At 37.7% G+C, this 20,733-nt stretch overlaps 1 protein-coding gene across 50 annotated transcripts in view; it reads left to right on the top strand.

Moving 5' to 3' along the window:
* SETD5 (SET domain containing 5) overlaps positions 1–20,733 on the top strand; it is an 80,540-nt gene that overhangs the window by 15,622 nt on the left and 44,185 nt on the right. For 13 of the 50 annotated variants that reach the window (XM_047448466.1, XM_047448477.1, XM_047448483.1 and 10 more), the window contains exons 2-4: positions 11,231–11,290; positions 15,587–20,326; positions 20,609–20,714. In XM_047448466.1, coding sequence (XP_047304422.1) covers positions 20,235–20,326; positions 20,609–20,714 — 198 coding nt within the window. In that variant the 5' untranslated portion in view covers positions 11,231–11,290; positions 15,587–20,234. Of the gene's footprint in view, positions 1–9,486; positions 11,304–15,586; positions 20,715–20,733 lie in introns of those variants that run through there. The other 37 variants (XM_011533922.2, XM_005265301.2, XM_011533928.2 and 34 more) reach the window with 15 other exon arrangements.

The raw sequence follows: 20,733 nt of genomic DNA on the forward strand, positions 1-20,733 counted from the left end.
ATACTAAGAGGGAAATTTTAATATTATAAAGAAGTCTATACAGATTCTGGAGAGCATTCCTGAAGAGAAGATTGAGGAAGCAAATGGATTAATTAATGTAATAGTGTGTTCAGTGTGCAATAGGTAACATTTTATGATATGGTTGAATTTCTGAAAAGGTATCTTATAAATATCAGACCATATTTAAGGAGACTTCCACCTCTACTGATAAAATCTGCCCTTCTCTCTCCCCCTGACTTTATTGCTGCCCATCTGTAGTTTTGATCTTTTTTCTCTAGGATTCTTTGCCTAGAATTGCCATGGGCCTTCTGGATCTGGAACACGGATGAAGGAAGAGGATGAATGTTTTTCAGATGTTATCCCTTATGGGAGTAATTTGTAAATTCTAGCTTCTTCGGGTGGGGGGAGGCGGGGTGTGTGTGTGTGTGTGTGTGTGTGTGTGTGTGTGTATTATTTATTTATTTTTTTAAGTTAATTGGCCTCTTCCAGCAAAGAGTATACAGCAGAGACCTAGAAGTTTCATTTTTTGTTTGTTTTTGTTTTGTTTTGTTTTGTTTTTGAGACGGAGTCTGGCTCTGTCACCCAGGCTGGAGTGCAATGGTGTGATCTCTTCTCACTGCAACCTCTGCCTCCCGGGTTCAAGCAATTTTCCTACCTCAGCCTCCCAAGTAGCTGGGACTGCAGGCGCGCGCCACCACGCCCAGCTAATTTTTGTATTTTTAGTAGAGATGGGGTTTCACCATTTTGGCCAGGATGGTTTCCAACTCTTGACCTCGTGATCTGCCACCTTGGCCTCCCAAAGTGCTGGAATTACAGGTGTGAGCCACGGCTCCTGGCCAAGACCTAGAAGTTTTACGTCAAATTTTGTCTCTGCAGTTTTCTGAGGAATGAGTATATGTGCTCAAATAATAGCTAAGTATTAAGTCTGAAATATTCTAGAAAAACAGTCACAAAGTAGTTATGCCTAGGATGTTTTTGAATATTGGTACTAGAACAAATGGATTCCTACTAGATTTCCTTTTTACTTTCATATTCAGATGTAGGAAGAGTTGGAATTCAAAATGTGAAAAGCAGTCTTGAATCTCAGTAAATTCTTAAGAAATTCTTAATTCATTGAAGAGCCATTGGTCGTGTGTGTTTTTTGGGGAGTGTGTGTGTGTGTTGTTGTTGTTAAGAATTCGGGGATGAGTATGAGGCTATCATTGCTTCTACAAGGCAACTTAATGATAGTTTGCTGCTTGGCACAACAGGTGAAAGGGCCTTTCTAGAGCAGGGATCTTGGTTTCCCTTTTTCCCACCTAGTAGTATCATTCCATGTATTTACCAGGATATACATTGTTTAGTCCTGTCTTGGCTAAATAGGTAATGGTCCTTAAGGACATAAAATGGAAGGATATTGTGCAGAAGAATTACTAGTTCTCCGTAGTGTATTTTTTTACTGTATTCTCCTCATCAACAGATGGAAAATTTTTAAACTTAGAAGAAAAAACAAGTGTTTTTCTCCAAAAGATTGAGAACCACTGCTTTTAAGTTATTAATGGAGGTCTTCAATGGATTTGTTAAAAATCTGGAGCATGGATTTTTTTTTTTTAATTTTTTTGTTATTGGTTACTGAGTATTGGAAAAGGAAATACAGTATTCAAAAACAGTAATGTTCAGGATTTGGAACTATTTTACTCAGGAAAAAATAAGTTTATAAATAGACATTTTAATGAAAAGGAAAATAGCAAATTTATGGAAATCTGAGATAGTCTGTGTTTTGCTTCACTCTGTTTAGTGCTAGAATTCTGGACTTTGTTTGGGGTCAAACTCTGATATGACAGGAAAACTAACAGATGATTAAAAGAGACAGTAACATAAATGGGAAAGTTTAAATATGGTATATGGTTTTAATTATATTTTGTATAAGAAAGCAGTTTATACCAGTTGTATTCCTAACTAAAAAGTACTATTTTATCAGTTTCCTGGGACTAATTTATTATAAGTTAATTAATGACATGAGCATTTTGGCCCAAATACAGTTGAAATGTTCATTGAAACTGGATCAAAGATGAGCATATGTGTCAAGGCTTTAAAATCATTTTTCATATTAAGATTTCCAGAGAAAGTTTTTGTAATATATAAGTTAAATATTTTTAATGCTTTAGATGACAGGAACTGTTGAAGGTCCTGGATCTCATAACAAGCCACTAGCTAGCTGATCCAAAGACATTTGGCCCCATGGGCTTCTAGGAAGACAAATGTGCTTACCATTTCAAAGATTTTATTTTGCTCAGTAACCTACTAGACATATATTAGTGTTTGTTTGAGTTGGTCGTTGTCTTCCATTGCTGTTATTTTATTATTATTATTTTTTTAATTTTAGAGACAGGATCTCCTTGTCACCCAGGCTGGAGTGCAGTGGCACAGTCATAGCTCACTGCAGTCTCAACTCTTAATTAGGCTCAAGGGATCGGGATCCTCCCACCTCAGCCTCTTAAATAGCTTGGACTACAGGTATGCACCACCACTCCTGGCTGTCTTATTGTGTTGCCCAGGGTGGCCTCAAAACTCCTGGCCTCAAGTGATTCTCCTAAGTCAGCCTCCCAAAGCGCTAGGATACAGGTGTGAGCCACCCTGCCCAGCCCCATTGCTGTTGAACTTTTTTTTTTTTTTAAAGACAGGCTCTGGTTCTGTTGCCCAGGCTGGAGTGCAGCAGCGCAATCTCAGTTCACTGCAAGCCACCCACCGAGCTCAAGCCATCCTCCCACCTCAGCCTCCTGAGTAGCTGGGACTATAGGTGTGCACCACCATGCCTGGCTACTTTCTTTGTAATTTTTTTGTGGTTCAAATAGGAATCTTCCACGTGCATCCAAAATATTTTTGGTTTGTGACACTCAGTGTTATTATTGACTCATTTTTCCATTGGAAGGTGTGCCTCAGAGTGGGTGAGCCTTTTTGCCCTCAGTCTTCTGTCAGCACTCTAAGACTCCAAGTACTCTAAGAGATTGCTCACTAAAAATAAGAACAGCTGGCCATCTACCTCAAATGTGAGCCGTCACTTTTGTGATATAATCAGTCCTTATCTTTAGTACACAGATTTATGGAATATCACACTCACTGTCTGCCTGCTTTGGGGTGTTTCTCCTGTGTCATTCATTTTTGTATATTGGCATATAGCAAATATAGGAATGCTGTGTCGCAGCTGTGGGTCATGTATGTACTTGCAGTTAGCTCTTGCTCCCAAGAATGCAAGAAATTTATCAACAAACTCGTGTCATAAAAATAGTTTACAGTGATTTTTTTCTTAAAATATTTCAATGATTAAGACTTTTTTTAATAACCACAAGTGTATAATTGTAAAACCTAAGCATTACTCAGCAAATCTAGCAATTGTTGAATTGCATAAGCTTCTTGTTCATTGGAACTTTTGCTAAAGAATTATGACCTTTGATTTCTTATCACCATGACCTATCATTATGATAAACATGCCCCTCTTATGTATCCTTATACCCATTATAAGGATAAACAAGGGATAGCTCCACCCACCAGATGTCATAGACACAACTGGTATTTTGGGGATTTTGCTGTAGACTAATCCTGGAAGGAAGAGAGGTTATAGATAAAATAAGATTGGCCATGAATTGATTGTTGATTAAAGCTGGGTAGGGAACATTGGGTTTTCTCTGGTTTTATATTTATTTGAAGTTTTTCACCATAAAGTTTTTTTTTTTTAAGATAAAAAATAAAAGCATGAATAGTGTAAACAAAGTTTTGAAGGAGAAGGAAACAGGTTAGTAGCTAATTAACAAAAATGTTCTTGTTCCATTCAGGCACAGGAGTTTGGACTAGCCCAATAAGCATTAAGGAAACCATTATTTGTAGATTTCAGATAATGCAATGATAGTAACCAAAGTTATGCTCTAGAAGGGATAACATCATGGAAGAATATAGAGTAGATTGGAGGGTTCACACCCCAGAGGTAGTGAGACCAGTTCACTGCTATTATATAATGCTACCTTGAAATCATAGGGAGGCGACTGATGTGGTTTGCTAAAAGTCTCCAAAAATTTCAAAGGAGAATAGCTCTTCAGTCAGGTGCTAGTGCCAGCACAACAAAAAAGAGGGTTTTTTCCCTCATTTGGCCAGGGCATGGATTTGGACCATGTGGGTGTCATAATGGAGTATACCAAGTGATTTTGTTCCTATGATGAAAGTGAAGTCCATATTTTGTCTCCTGTCTTTTAGTAAATCAGTATAGATAAGTCTTTTTTTTTTTTTTCCCCCCGAGACGGAGTCTCGCTCTATCGCCCAGGCTGGAGTGCAGTGGCGTGATCTCCACTCACTGCGAGCTCCGCCTCCCGGGTTCACGCCATTCTCCTGCCTCAGCCTCCCAAGTAGCTGAGACTACAGGCGCCCACCACCATGCCCAGCTAATTTTTCGTATTTTTAGTAGAGACGGGGTTTCACCATGTTAGCCAGGATGGTCTCGATCTCCTGACCTCGTGATCCGCCCGCCTCGGCCTCCCAAAGTGCTGGGATTATAGGCGGGATCCACTGCGCCTGGCCAAGTCTTTTTTTTTTTTTAATTATTTTATTCTTTATTTTTTTCCCCACATATTCTAAAATAAGTCTCTTACAGTGTCTAGGTTTCTTTCCAAAGGTGATTAAAAATGAAGCATCATATTTTAAACTTCTGAGGCAGAACTGCTAGAACAAGAGTTTTGTTTTTTTTTTTTTTTTGAGACGGAGTCTTGCTCTGTCGCACAGGCTGGAGTGCAGTGGCGCGATCTCGGCTCACTGCAGGCTCCGCCTCCCGGGTTCACGCCATTCTCCTGCCTCAGCCTCCCGAATAGCTGGGACTACAGGCGCCTGCCACCGCTCCCGGCTAATTTTTTTTTTTTTTGTATTTTTAGTAGAGACGGAGTTTCACCGTGTTAGCCACGATGGTCTCGATCTCCTGACCTTGTGATCCTCCCGCCTCGGCTTCCCAAAGTGCTAGAACAGAGTTTTGATAATTTGTTTGAAACGAAGCACTCAAATCTTCTAGTTTATTTGCATTTGCAGTCAGACCTCTACAGATGCCAGCTAGATTACAGATGGCTAGCATAAGTTTTTTTCATTACAGAAAGAAGAAATTTAGAGCTTAGTGCGGTCTATTAAAAGAATTAAAGGTTATGTCAAAGGACAACTATAAGAAAGTACTTTGGTTCTGAATATTGCTTCAGCTAGGGTTTATTTTGAAGCTCCTAGCCCAAATTTGTAGAAATGCAACTAAGATCTAATATTTAGTGTGTAAGAACTTTACAGGACATCCAGTCAGTAGTAGTCTTAAAAGTGAATCACATAGGCTGAAGCAGGCAGATCACCTGAGCCCAGGAGTTCAAGACCACCCTGGCCAACATGGTGAAACCCCGTCTCTACTAAAAATACAATAATCAGCTGGGTGTGGTGGTGGGCACCTATAATCCCAGCTACTCAGGAGGCTGAGACAAGAGAATTGCTTGAACCCGGGAGGTGGAGGTTGCAGTGAGCTGAGATCCTGCCATTGCACTCCAGCCTGAGCAACAAGAGCGAAACTCCGTCTCAAAAAAAAAAAAATGTGAATCACATACATAAACATTGGGAATTTGCAGATAACTTTCATTTTAGGGTTTCTAGAGCGCAGTGGTGTAATCTTGGCTCACTGCAACCTCCACCTCCTGGATTCAAGCGATTCTCCTGCCTCAGCCTCCCAAGTAGCTGGGATTACAGGTGTCCACCACTATGCCTGGCTGATTTTTGTATTTTTAGTAGAGACGGGGTTTCATCATCTTGGCCAGGCTGGTCTCAAACTCCTGACCTCAGGTGATCCACCCGCCTTGGCCTCCCAAAGTGCTGGGATTGCAGGCATGAGCCACCACACCCGGCCCACTTACAGGATTTTTCTCCCCCTTCATGGTTGTATAAATGCAGTACTTGGCACATAGGCAAACCTGAACAGTTTGCAAGTTGCCTACCCTTTTCTACTTTGGATAAAATAAACCTCTTAAAATAGCACTTAACATAGTAATATATGTATATTAATAGTAGTTACTTCATGTTTGTTGAATGAATGAATGAAAAAAGTAGCAAATCTACATAATATAAATCCCAAGACAGCCAGGAATTTTATCTGGACCTAATTGTCTTACATAGCACCAATTGGTACTTAATAAAAACAAGGCTGGGCATGGCAGTATGCGTCTGTGGTCCCAGCTACTTGGGAGGCTAAGGTGAGAGGATCGCTTGAGCCCAGGAGGTTGAGGTTGCGGTGAGCTGTGATTGCACCAAAGCACTCCAACCTGAGTGACAGACCCTGTCTCAAAAATAAAAATAAAAACAATTAGTTATAACTCAGATGTTGCTATCTAAGGTAAGTAGTAATTACTATAATAAACAAGCTATATATTAACATCTTAATTTTCTTTCCTCTGAACTTTACTACTGTAGGTGTGTAGTGAACTTCATACAAGTTAATCTTTTTGTAGCTCTATTTCTTCATTTCTGTTTGTTCATCGGTTGGAGAAATTTTGCTTAAATTAATGAAAGTAAAAATACAGATATTAATGGCTCATAAATGTGCACAACCCACTTCATCTATAGTAAGTAAAAGTGGCTCCCATTTTGGGGTTTGAAAATGAAGAAGATCTGAATTCACAGAGAGGAGGCACGTGTAGAGATATGAGAAGTTCTTTTCCTACTCTACTTTGGTACATTGGTCTCTAACACATGTTCTGAGCCTCAGAACACAGTAGAACAGAACCTTCAGAAAGTGTTGAGAGTATAACTCTTTAAAGAGGTTTAGTCAGTCTAAATTATTTGAGGGCATCATCTTTATTTGGTACTTAGAAGTCTAAAATCTTCCTGATTGTTGTTAAGGTTACAAAGAGTCTGTGTATTGTTGGTTAGTTGAGCAGTAAATACCTTTTTATCATTGTTAAATGGGTTGTAAATAAAATATTTTTCTTCAGTGTTAAAATAATTTATGATCACAATATTTAGATAATAATAATAATAATTCTGTTATTTATGATATGTAGTCTTATCCTACTGCCACTCCCCTCTTCTGCTCCACATACTACTAAGTATGACTTGGTCTCTATAATACGCACTAATTATGAAGTTTTTTACGGAGAAGGAAATTCTTAATATAGACTAGGATTTTTTTTCAGTTGTCTTTTAATGGCCTTTTATTCTAGTAAACTTAGATTTCTTATAGACATCGGTTTATTGTGCCGAGCTCAGTAGCTCCTAGAGGGAGTATAAATTTAGGCAAAGGAATCAAGGAATAAACTGGTATTGTAGAAGAGATGGGAGAAAAGGAAATTTTTATTTTTGCTTTAAATTACTAAATCATGATGTTTCCTGTCTCTCAGTGCTTACCCCAATCAGTGTTTCTCTCTTTTCTTTTTTCCTTTCAGTCCCGAACCCCTAAAATTCTTTGCTTGCATTAACTTGCTTCAGATTATAAGCCTAATTTTACTGTTCCAAATACATGAACTTTTCACTGTATCTCCAAGTGCTCTTTTAGAGTTCATCTCTTTGTTTTCCAGTAACTCATATTTGTTTCTTCTTATGCTTAACACTTCTCTCTCATTTTTTTTTTTCATGTTTCTCACATTTTTTCTTTCCACATTATCTGCTGTAGCAAACTTGAAATATATGCTTTTGGAGAAGAGTAAAAACAGTGTTTAGCCATATTCAGGTTATTAGCAGCAGCTCCTCTTTCTTCACATATACTTAAAGGGACCAGAAAGTTATTTAAGCTCTTACTTGCTACAAATGCTGTTCCATGTGCTCCTATGAGTCAGCACAACAGGTATTTTTTTTTTTTTTATTGTACAGATGAGAAAACTGAGACTTTGAGACATTCTATGAATTGCCTGAGCTAGTTGGCAGCAGTGCCAGGATTCATAGAAATTTGGAGCAGGAAGACAACACAATGAAGATTTTACTTTGAGGAATTTAGGGTTCATCTATGTAAAGTGATTTTTCTGAGGTCACTAATTATGTTGTAGGCTAGAACTCAAGTCTCCTAACTCCTAATATAGTGCCTTTTTTTTCTTTTCTTTTTTTATTTTTTTAGGAGATGGGTCTCACTATGTTGCCCAGGCTGGTCTTAAACTCCTGGGCTCAAGCAATCCTCCTGCCTCAGCCTCCCAAAGTGCTAGGATTACAGGTGCAAGCCACCGCACCTGGCCTCTAAGAGTGCTTTTTCCTAGCATACTTTTCTTCTCCTAAGGTAAAAGGCTGTTTGTCATGGTACAGCTACGGTGATTTTACTTGAGATATTTGACTTTGAGATGGAGATGAAGATAAGTATATAATGCAGCTGCCACATTCATTCTCATACAAGGTAAAGTCATTCAAAAGATAAATCGAAGAACTATAGATGTATTTAAGAAGAAATTCAGCCTATATGTAACAACAAAATTTTGAATAATCAAGTTCAGAAATTGGATTTTTAAAAACTTATTAGCTACTTTAACCCTTTTGAAATATTCCCAAAAAGTGTTTTCTCTTCCTGAGTTAAATTTATTCATTTATTGACCTATTAAAGATTTTTTTAGTGCTTCAGAGCTATTCTGTATATCTGTTCATTTTCGTTATTTAGTAGTATATAGAAGTAATAGATTGGGCTGAATAGATTTATTTCAGGATATATCTTAGATATTTGTGTTTTTTCATGAATCCCAGTTTAAGGGTTATTGCTTTCAAAAGGAAGAAATTTGGTTAGTCATGACTTTTGGCTAGTTGAAGTTTAGAGAAGTGCTTTATACAGGATCTTTTATTTAGTGAGAAAAAAATAACTTTTTATAATTTTATAATACTGTGTGAAAAACCTGATACCAAAACTTCTGAAAAAGAAACCAGGCCTAGGAGATGAGGATTCTAGGGAAGATTATTAAATTGAGGATATTTTTAAGTTAGATTCTAAATTAGTAAATCGTGGCTAATAAGATGAAAATAATCTGATCCTTTAGTAAGATCTGAAGTAATATTGTTGCCCTGCAAAAAAGTGGTTGTTATCAGCATACCTTATATGTCAGCCTAAGCAAGATTAGATTTTCTCTTTTCTCTGATAGATGCCAATATTTAACATTGACTTTTATCTACTTTCAAAAATATCTATGAAATATACTTTCTGTCTCTGAATTAGAGTGTATGTATATTTGTGTTTACTTGAAATGTTATAGCTGGATGATAGATTTCAGAGCAGTTTTTATGCTTAGGGAAGCCACTGCCTCCCAAAAAGGTTTTCTTATGAGAATGAGGAAAATAAGTATAAATTTTCATATTTATGTTATTACTATTGATGTGCTTGGATAATTGTATTTATAAAAGTAAAAAATGTTCAGTATTTTATCTGAAATTTAATAATGGATATTGTACAGCCTAAGGAATTAAAAGAAAAAGGACCCTTTGAGAAAATGGCTTGTTCTTATGTATCTTAATATATACTGTGTTCACTTTATGTTTTGTCAGACACTGAAATTGAGGAAGAGAGATTTTGGCGTTCTGTTGGTTTATGGAGAGAGTTGATCAGAGATTGCTCCTTGGCTGAGTTGCTGTCTGCATAGGCTGTTAACAATTGTTTCTCTGGCAGCAGATCTTGTTCATCAGGATTGCATCATTTCTGGGAGAATGGCCAAGGTCCACAGCCTCAATACAAAGACTGTCTGAAGCATATGAGGCCTGTTCTCTTTCTGAAGCGGCACTCCTCTTCCTGCCAGTCCTCTTCACAGGATTACTGAAGCAGACTTGTTCTGAATTTCTTTCGTTGGATTGGTTGTTTATTGGACTTTTGTCTGCCAGCTGCTTCCGCCTCACCTGTCTGATGCAATTTCTTCTTCTGAAATCTGTTGGAATTGTTCATAAAACACTTTTTGTTTGTCTTCTCTGTGAGTGACCAGGGAGATCATACAGGTCTTGTGCTTTCAGCAAGTCATATAGAGAAGAGACTGTCAGAATGATGATACAGAGACTGTTGGCCATTTCTGAAACCAATTAAAAAGATGGGGTAATTAAGAAACATTTCTGGCATGTTCTATTTAACATCCTTTTCCCTAGAAACTGTATGTAAATGGCACCTCCTAAAGAGAGTACTCGGTACTACTGGAAGATACAGGCTGTGTCTGTTTCTGAATCCAAGAACTTACTAGTGTTCCTGTGGATTCTGATGGATTGTTCTGGAAATAGTTAAATTAATAATAAATTGAAACTGTGATGCATTCATTTACCCCCTACTGTACACTCACATCTATTTCGCTGTTTTCCTCCTTTCCTTTTTTTCTTTCTTATTTGCTATTGCTTCTTCCTTGATTTACTTTATTTCTTCCTTCCTTTTACTGTTACTTTGATACTTTTATTTCTCTAATTCTGGGTGTACTATTTTAAATCGTTTCTAAAAAATAGTTTATTTTCCAGTTTTTTAAAATTAGAAATCATAAAACATCAACATAAATGAAATGCATGCGTTCTAATGCTTGGTAACTGGAATCCTATGAATAGCTCTTTTCATGTTTATGATATGTTAATCTTTAAGGTGTTAATAACTCTGGCTAGCGTTAAATTTGACTTTTAGGAAAAAACACCAGAGACTTAAAGGATACTGATCATTTTCCCTTCCTTTTTGGAAGGTAGAAAATTAATTTAAGCGCCATTTTTTAAGCATGTTTCCATTTGACCGCAAATAGAACTGACTCCTTTTTATCACTCTTTTTTATAGTAGGACAAGAAACTAGATGGTGTGGAATGAAGGGAAAGAAAGGAGTAATAAATATGGACTTGTAATTTAATGGGTGATGATGGCCCCTTGTCTGGCTGGACAGTTGTCGGACATCGGGTTAAAGAAAGAACTCTGAATTTGAGAAGTGTTCAGTGAAGAAGGGAAGCACCTTTTAGGAGAGAGAAAAAGAAGGGATCCCTTGGAAAATGAGATAATTCTAATTTGAAGGAAGAGGAAAAATTAGCCAGTGACATAAGTATTTACCATTTAAGTCAAATAATTTCCTTCTCTACCATCTCGTTTCTGGCTTTATGGAAAAATAAAAAATTAAAGGGCAAAAAATTCAGTGCCGGATGGACGTAGGGTGGTAAACGAGATAGTATAGATGTAGGATGATAAACAAGACAGTATACAGAAACATAATATAGCTGTAGAATTCCATTCTGTGTGTTCATCAATGTTATTTCTTTCTGTACTAATTTTTGTCTCAACTTTTTCTAGGTCTTCAGAACTACTAGCAGATAATTTGGGGGGACTTCATATTCAGAAGTCTATATAAAGGTGACTGACCCAAGTAAATCCTTTTAATTTCTGTTTTATTTTTTGCATTTTAATGACTGCTGGAATCATGTTGTAGTAAATTGTGATTATAATTTACTTAGCAGATATTTCTGGAACTTCTCTACGTGTCAGTTATTGTTTTGGCCATTGAAACTACAGCAGTGGATAAAAATCCCTGTTCTCATAGAGTTTATATTCTGGTAGGAAAAAACAAACAAATTATAATAAGAAAATACTGCATTTAGATGATCTGTTAAATGTTCCTCGGTTAACATTTTAATAGCTACATTTTACAGAGTTACTTAGGGAAGGAACTATTCTTAGGGTAATATTTGAGAAATTTGGGATTATTAACAGAATTTGAATTAAGAAGCCTCATCATTATTAAAGCATTAGTTAGAATGAGATGGTCAAGCTAACCTATTATGGTTGCTTTCATCAGAAGAATGAAACAGTCATGTTAAACTAGACACAAGGAAAATGGAATAATTTTTATGAAATAGAAATTTATAGTTACCGACAATGTTTCTTTTTTTTTTTTTTTTTTTTTTTGAGACAGAGTATCATTCTTGTTGTCCATGTTGAAGTGCAATGGTACAGTCTTGACTCACTGCAACCTCCGGCTCCCGGGTTCAAGCGATTCTCTTGCCTCAGCCTCCCAAGTAGCTGGGATTACAGGCGTCCGCCATCGTGCCCGGCTAATTTTTTTGTATTTTTAGTAGAGACAGGGTTTCACCGTGTTAGCCAGGCTGGTCTTAAACTCCTGACCTCAGGTGATCCGCCCACCTCAGCCTCCCAAAGTGTTGGAATTACAAGCGTGAGCCACTGCACCGGGCTGACTTAATGTTTCTTAAGGATTCATCAACTATCCAAAATAGCTGGGTTGGTGTTTCATTAGTGAATGTAGCAATCATTTATTCACTCATTAAGATGTTATCTGAAGTAACTTTTCCATCTTTTCCTTTTAGTATATCTTTTAAAAATTGCTCTAGGAAAAATATCAACTATCATCTTGGGTTTATAACTTGTCTTTTATCTAGAAACTGTACTTTTTTTTTTTTTTTTTTTGGAGAAAGAGTTTCACTTTTGCTCAGGCTGGAGTGCAGTGGCCCTGTCTCAGCTCACTGCAGTCTCTGCTTCCCAGATTCAAACGATTCTCGTGCCTCAGCCTCCCAAGTAGCTGGGATCACAGGCATATGCCAACATGCCCAGCTAATTTTTGTATTTTTAGTAGAGATAGGGTTTCACCGTGAAACCATGCATTTTTTAAATGGGTGTACAGTCGTAATGGCTACAACAAAGGGTTTTTAATGATATTAAGTACGGTTTTTGGTTTAAGTCTTTTACTGAAAATATAAAACAATTCAGATTCCCTTTGCTGATCAGGGGAGGTACGGTGATAATCAGACTTTCATATGATTATCTGGTCAGACAGCTTTGGGGCTTTTCTTTTAATCTGAATTATACAGTAAGACTAATAGAAAGAGTAGTGACCAACAGCCCCCAGTATTTAACTGTCTTTTGGGTTTACTTGATGAGTGTTCTTGTTTTATCATTTACAGATTTTACTTCAATTTCCCAAAGGCTTAGAAGATGTACTGCCAAGGTCTCTGTTTGGATATACTGTTAGGGAAAGGAAACATACATGTGTAAGACTGGCCTAAAGGCAAAAAAGTTCATCAGTCCCTTTTTTTTTTTTTTTTTTTTTTTTTTTTTTTTTTTTTTTGGCAACAGGGACTCACTTTGTTGCCCAGGCTGAGTGCAGTGGCATGATCTCAGCTCACTGCAACCTCCACCTCCCAGGCTCAAGCAATCCTCCCACCTCAGCCTCTTGAGTTAGCTGGGACTACAGGTGCATGCCACCACACCAGATTTATTTTTTTTTTTTGAGATGGAGTCTCACTCTGTCGCCCAAGCTGGAGTGCAGTGGCGTGATCTCGGCTCACTGCAACCTCCACCTCCTGGGTTCAAGAGATTCTCCTGCCTCAGCCTCCTGAGTAGCTGGGATTACCAGCGTGTGCCACTACAGCTAATTTTTGTGTTTTTAGTAGAGAAGGGGTTTCACCACATTGGCCAGGCTGGTCTCGAATTCCTGACCTCAAGTGATCCACCCACCTTGGCCTCCCAAAATGCTGGGATTACAGGTGTGAGCCACCGCGCCTGGCGCACACCAGGTAAATTTTGTATTTTTAGTAGAGACAGGATCTCGCCATGTTTCCCAGGCTGGTCTCGAACTCCCAAGCTCAAGCAATCCACCTGCCTCAGCCTCCCAAAGTGCTGGGATGACAGGAATGAGCCACTTCATCTGGCCCAGTCATTTCCCAGCCCAGCTATATGTCACCTCCAATTGGGTGTAGGAACAGGCGTATTGTCATACCCAGAGGTCTCACTTCATCATCTAGGCTGGAGTGCAGTGCATGATTATGGCTCACCTCAGCCTCTACCTCCTGTGCTCAGGTGATCCTCCCACCTCAGCTCCCAAGTAGCTGGGACCACAGGCACACATCACCATGGCTGGCTGATATTTTTTTACTATTTTTGTAGAGTTGGGGTCTCACTATGTTGTCTCAGCTGGTCTCAAATTCCTGGACTCAAGTGATCCTTCCACCTTGGCCTCCTAAAGTGTTGGTATTACAGTTGTGAACCACTGCACCCAGCCCACAATTTTTTTTATTTGCATTAATATCAAAGTAAGATTGGAGCATCTCAGACCATCTACCATTTACAATTTACATTAACCGGCCAGGCACGGTGGCTCACGCCTATAGTCCTAGCACTTTGAGAGGCTGAGGTGTGAGTGGATCACCGGAGGTCAGGAGTTCAAGACCGCCTGGCCAACATAGTGAAACTTCATCTCTACTAAAAGTACAAAAATTAGCCAGACATGGTGGCAGGCGCCTGTAATCCTAACTACTTGGGAAGCTGAGGCAGGAGAATCTCTTGAAGCCAGGAGGCGGAGGTTGTAGTGAGCCAAGATTGCGCCATTACACTTCAGTCTGGGCAACAAAAGTGAAACTGTCTCAAAAAATAAAAATAAAATTTACATTAACCCCCTGGGTTGACTCAGTCGGTATCATGTACTTTTCATTCCTTTAGTTTTTTTAGTATTAATAATTGTTCTAATGTCTTATTATGAATCAGTGTATCAGTCATGACTCTCTTTGTAGTCTTTTTTGCAAAAGTCCTTGTTAACATGGGTCTTTGACATTCACATTGACTTTATTCCCCCCCAAATAAAATGCTTTTTGTTTCATCCTTTCAATGTTTTTTACACTACTGTAAAACTACTAATGTAAAGTCACACAAAGAACACTTGTTTCCCTCTGCACCATACCTCCAAATCTCTTAATCTATTTTTGCATTTTTTTATACTTCAGTAATTTCTGAGTCTTTCTGTTCCCAGCTTTCACTGGTTTATGGTCACCATGTCAAGCTATCCTCACCGCTTTTTCATACACAGTTGTTTAGTCTTTATCATGAAACTGTACTCTTCGTGATTTCGGGGGTTTTTTTGTTGTTTTTAAAAAGTAGTCAACTTTTTTAGAGCAGTTTTAGGTTCACAGGAAAATTCATCAGGAGATACAGAGATTTCCCATGCACCCTCTGCACCCACGCATGCATAGCCTCCTCCTGGTTTATATTTTTGTTCATATCTAGCAGCGTATTATTACCCCACAAATAAAGTTGCTAAGATGATTGCATCTTCTCCCAAAATTATAGTTAAGATGATTTAAAAGAAGGAAGAGAGTGTTCAATGACAAAAGAAGGCACTAAGAAACAGCTGTTTCCAATCAAGTATAAACAACAAATTGATCTCTTTTAATTTGGAAGAAATAACATTATTGACTGCTTGTGAAACTGCATTTATTTGTGGCCTAGGAAAAAAACTTAAATGAAGATCTTGAATTTTTAAAGAGTTTAGGTAAACTGGGATATTTTTAATAACCATCCTTTATCTTAAAACTTGTTTGCTATATCCTAGGCTGCCAGAAAATTTTGTTTGGGCAGTTTTAGAATGGGGAGAATGTGTTGGTTAGTGAGATAGGCAGACTCTTCCTTTCCCTTCAACTGAAAAGAAAAACAAAAGTAAACATAACTTTTTGCCCCCTACTTTGTGAAACATTAATGAAATGCATAGTAAACATGGGACACTGTGGCTGTATTTATTTTATAATTATCCCTTAAAAGCCTTATTCAAGAATGCAGAAAAATATTCAGTAACATTTAAGATAAACTTGAAGAACTATCTGATAACTAGGTATTTATTTTACTAGATATTTTCCTTTTCTGTTACAGGATTCCTCATGTCCATAACATGTTGGATGAGGCTCTGCAGCTCACCCCCACTCTCAGAGTGGTCAGTCTCCATTAATTGGACCCCGTGATTTCCAATCTCTGCTGTGTTGGACGTCATGAGCATTGCAATCCCTCTGGGAGTCACCACATCAGATACATCCTACTCAGATATGGCTGCTGGATCAGAGTAAGTGCTACTTTCTAGGTAGTAGGTACATTATCAGTCTGTGTGGAGACAGCCTTCTTATGGATAGCTAATAGGATAATATGTAGTATTTTCTTAACCAGATCCTATTCCACTGTAATTAACATTAGACCTTTCCCTTTACCCCCATTGAAGGTGGTGGAAAAAAGGAATTAGAAGGGGAAGGAAGAGTTTTCAGAGGGGTATTTCTGGGCAAATAATTAATAGAACCAAAGTTGCAAAGTAGGAATTCATTTTCATTTGTTTTAATGGGTGGAGAAAATTGGAATAAAGTAGGTGTTACTACCTGCTTCTGTAGAGTTAATGATTCTGATGGAGGGAGATAAGAAGGTGTTCTTTCCAACTGATTTTCCTTGAAGTCCTCTTCCTATGTACTTCCCATTGTTCTAGAGTAAAGGGGCCGAAACTATATGGGCAGGTTGCCTAGACCTTCTGACATCTGGGGTAGAAAACATGGAGAACAGCGTCATCTGTTTTTTTATAATATTCGTTGCCTAGAAAGAGGACCTTCAAAATCAGTGGTACCAAACTTTTTTTTCAGCTAAGAGCAGCTTTAGGAATTCAGAGTTTGTCCAAAGGCCCAATCCCTAAAATTATACTCTCAATTCTTGAAGAATGTAAATGCCAAATGACAATGAAGGTAGGCCTTCATTATACAACTTTATATATATTATTCACAGTTTTAAAATTTTTAGTCTTTTGTATCCCTTCTCTTTTAAGTTGTCCGAGATTCCCCCTGCTCACAGATTCCCCCTCTTGTCCTTTTACCTCCCTTGTACCCAATCTTCCTTGCTTACAGAAAGGAAGTGGAAGCCCCCTACCTTTCAAGACGAAGTGGCACTACACCAGGATGTGAAAGTCCAGCGAAAGAGACCCAAGGGGCCTAGGGGGCAGCACACCCCCAGAAGCCAAGTCTATTCCAGGCAGTACCAGGGATTAGGGTCTGGGCTGGAAAAATCCTGGTGTTTTGAATATGTTCAGGTCCAGTTCAGACTCTTGATCCCACAGCCACTTCTTGAGTGAGGTGGGTGTTGCTCTAATTCCCCTGTTTCTCTTGCCATTTTCACAGTCCCTGGGGATTCTTCCCCCTTCAGCAAAGCAAAGCAACTGTACCAGATTTCTGGGTTGAATGACATCCCTGATTAATAAGTGGTTTTCTTCCTTAAAACAGAATATTATTAAAGAGCATGTATATTTCTTCATAAAGCCACCTAATATAACTTACCTGTTTACTGAGTTCCTTAAAGAGGAAGACTTAAAGCTACCCTGAGAAATAGTATATAATATTCTGGGGTAGTCTAAAATGAAAAGCAGTGTTTGGGCTTATTCCCATATAAAAAGGAGAAAGGAGGGTTGGGGGTGGGGAAGGGTTGATTTTGTTTCTTCTAGAGCTTTTTTCTTCTTTTGTTTTTGTTTGTTTTGTTTTGTTTGCATGCAAAAGGTATTTAGTTATGTCAGTAACTGAGACTTACTTAACCATTTTACAACTCTTTCCCCAAATAAAGTACTTAAAACTCTCCCTGCATTAGTAGGTAGCCAGTTTGTATTGTGTTTATAGGTTTTTATAAAGTCAGCTACTAACCTGGTACTATGTAGATTGTCTAACTGTATAGATAGATAGCATTAACATTTGTGAGAAATTTCAACAAAGAGGTTAAACCAATACGTTTGGAATTGCTGGATAAAAGACCCAGAGCAGTTAATCTTACAATTGGTGTTTTCCCCAAAGTATAGACATGACTGCCCGTAAATACTGCTGGGGAGTCTAGGACTAATTCCAGAAATAAAAATACTTCTGGTCTACAAATGTGACTGCGCTGTCTCTGTTAACACCAACATATCCTAGGATTTCCTGAAACATTTTCATTCATGATCTCCAGACAGATTTGTGATACTGTGGTCATAACTAGCTACATAGTTATGCATTTCTGCAAAGGGAAAGAATGTCAGTAACTAGCTACATACCATTCTGTTAAATTATTAATGATATTTATTAATGTTTCATCATGCCTATTTCGCTGTTCTGGGCACTTTAAGATTAAACCTGGTATTAAGTGCAGCATACTCAACTAGATGTAGACTTCACTTCATAGAATTTTAAATCTGATGGCAACTATATGCAATACGCATTTATTTTTGTGTGTGTTTGTAGGAAAATTTGTAGATGTAACAAGCAAAACAAAGATTTTTCTGAATTTCCAACTCTACCATAACAGAATTTCAGGCATTTTCCAAGAAATGGCATGATAGCAGCTGGGTTGCATGTTGTACTTAGAACACTGTTGATGGAGTATATCTGTTGTGAGCCTGGTTTCTGTGTATGTGTCCAATTCAGTGATAGGAGAAGAAAGCCTGTAATTACATTTGCATAAAGTGGTTGGCTGCTAAAGAGATGTAATTCCATTATTCCAAACTTTTAATTCATATTTTAAAATATAAAAACTAGTATATATATCAAGGAATATTTTAGGAAATCTTGTAGTTACCTGTAAGTGTCTAACTGTGTATTCAATCAGTAACCAATATGGAAATTGCAGAGTTTCTTCATCAGAAGATATGAGTTTAAATTTTATATTTGGCATGCACAGCAATATATTAAATGCTGTGCTTAACTAGAAAGTATTGTGCAGTGTGATGGCCTTTTAACCTCCACAATATACATTTTATTTTTATTCCCTAGACTTGCACATGAAGTGCATATGTTCATATTTACCCGTTTGGAGATGGGTAAGATACAACCAGCATAGCTCCATCTCCATGGCCATCTTTGATTTCATGCAACTTTCCTTTTTCCTGTCCCCCTCCCACCAAAAAAAAATCCATTCCTAATAAACAGCTATCATGTTTCACTCCATGTGTTCAGTGGTACAAAACCTATATAAAATATGTACAGCTCTTTGGAATACTTGTTTATCTAGTAATGTACCTAGTAAATTAACAATGTTGTATAAATTTATTACTTTCTTTTAACTGTCCATCATAGAAACTAAATTATACCTTCATTTTATTAATGCTTGTCTGCCTTTGGTTTCATTTAGGAAACCCCACCTGTTTCCTAATACTCAGAGATGATTGCCTCTCAGTGAGCCATGTTCAGATCATCTTTTTCTCAAGAATACTGACCTGCATTCTTGATGTACCCCTCCCCCGTTCCCATCTTGCAGACACTTTTAAGTAATAAAATGCATGCACCTCACTAACAGAGAATACTTTCCTCTGTCTAAAGTTCTTCACTTAGAAATTTCCTTTGCTGTTATTAATAAGATCCTTTCTCACAGTTTTGGAGCATATAACTGGGTGAGTTGGATACATATCTCAGAATTTTCTTTGATCCCTCACTTCTCAATTGACATTGCACCACATTGAACTGCACACTTATTCCTGCTGTACTATATATTGTATATCTTTAAGCAGGAAAAAATGACTTGTTATTTCAAGCGAACAATATGCATTATTTGACTCCCTGAAAGACCCATTAATCTCTAAGTTAGAGTTATACCAATCATCGGAGTTTCTAATTTGTGAATCTGTGTTCTAATTAATATAAATTACAAATTACTATTCTATTCTGCAAAGCCATACAAACTTTATATTTTTGAATTACCCTTCAGTATTCCCTAAAACCTAACCAGGTAACAATCAGAGTTGAAGTTCTTTCTTCCCATAAACCTGATTTTTATCCTTTGCCATCAAAGCCTTTTTATTGTAAAGGCTTATATTAATTTTCTAAGTTTGAATACATGTATAATTCTACAATAATACATTGCGCTTGAATAGTTTATTTTCTACTCACAAAGGGTACAAAAAGATACTAAACCAAGCTTCTCACTAAGCCTGGTTAATAAAGGTCTCAAATAATTTTCTTTAAAGGACTGAATGTCATTCTCATTTCTGTAGTGGAAAGAGCATAGACTTTGGAGTCAGACAGACTTTGTTTCAAATCTTAGCTGTGTCAGTGTGTAACCTTGGGGAAGTCATGTAATCTCACCACCACATCTTCCCACTCTGTAAAAATGGAGTATATACCATGTTTAGTGGTTGCTGAAATTAAATGAATTAATATGTATTTAAAGCACCTAACAAATATTGGGCAGTTCACAATGGTAGCCATTACTGTTGTTATTATTTGTCAGTAGACTAACATAACTTTACAGTTTAGTTTTTATTTTGAAGTTCTATGGTATTATCATGCAGCTGATAAATAATTTTGTCCTTAATATGCTTGCATGTCATTGGTGGATGAGAAATTATTACTCTAATATTTGAAAGGTGTTGGGGGTTCATCAAGATGAGAGGTATGATAAATATAAGATGCCATTGTTTTTACCTGTACTTTCTTCAGGGTATCCTGTCTTGGTAGTGAATGGAAGAGGGCCTGGTCCCTGGGGCAGTGCAGAAGGCACTTTGATCATCTCACTCACTGCAAATGTCATGTGAGGTTTCATGGAAGTATTAAGAGATCCAATTAAGAAGAATAGTTCTGAGTCTAAACCAGCCCAGAGTGGCTTCTCTAGGGGAAACTCCCCGCTCAGCTGGTACGTTTGTGTTTGTCATTAGGGACACCTTGTATCTCAGGTGCCTGCCTTCAGACATCTGCCTGTACTGGCTTCATGTTACACACAAATCCACATTTAATAACACTCCTACTGTTATTTATAGGCTTAGTTATGTTAATAAGATTGTTTCACCGAGTTCTTTCTCTTATCCTAGTGGCTAGTGGTTGTGGAAAGAGGAGGGGTTAGAATGGGAAATGAAGTGTTAGTTTAAGGGAAGATTAGGTGTTATGCTATCATGCATTGCTTTTCGCCTTTGTGCAGCCCTGAATCTGTGGAGGCTAGTCCAGCAGTTAATGAGAAGAGCGTGTATTCCACTCATAATTATGGGACCACTCAGAGGCATGGGTGTCGAGGACTGCCTTATGCTGTGAGTATGCATTTGTTTC

Source organism: Homo sapiens, chromosome 3, assembly GCF_000001405.40.
Source record: "Homo sapiens chromosome 3, GRCh38.p14 Primary Assembly".
In the NCBI taxonomy this organism is placed as follows: Eukaryota; Metazoa; Chordata; class Mammalia; order Primates; family Hominidae; genus Homo; species Homo sapiens.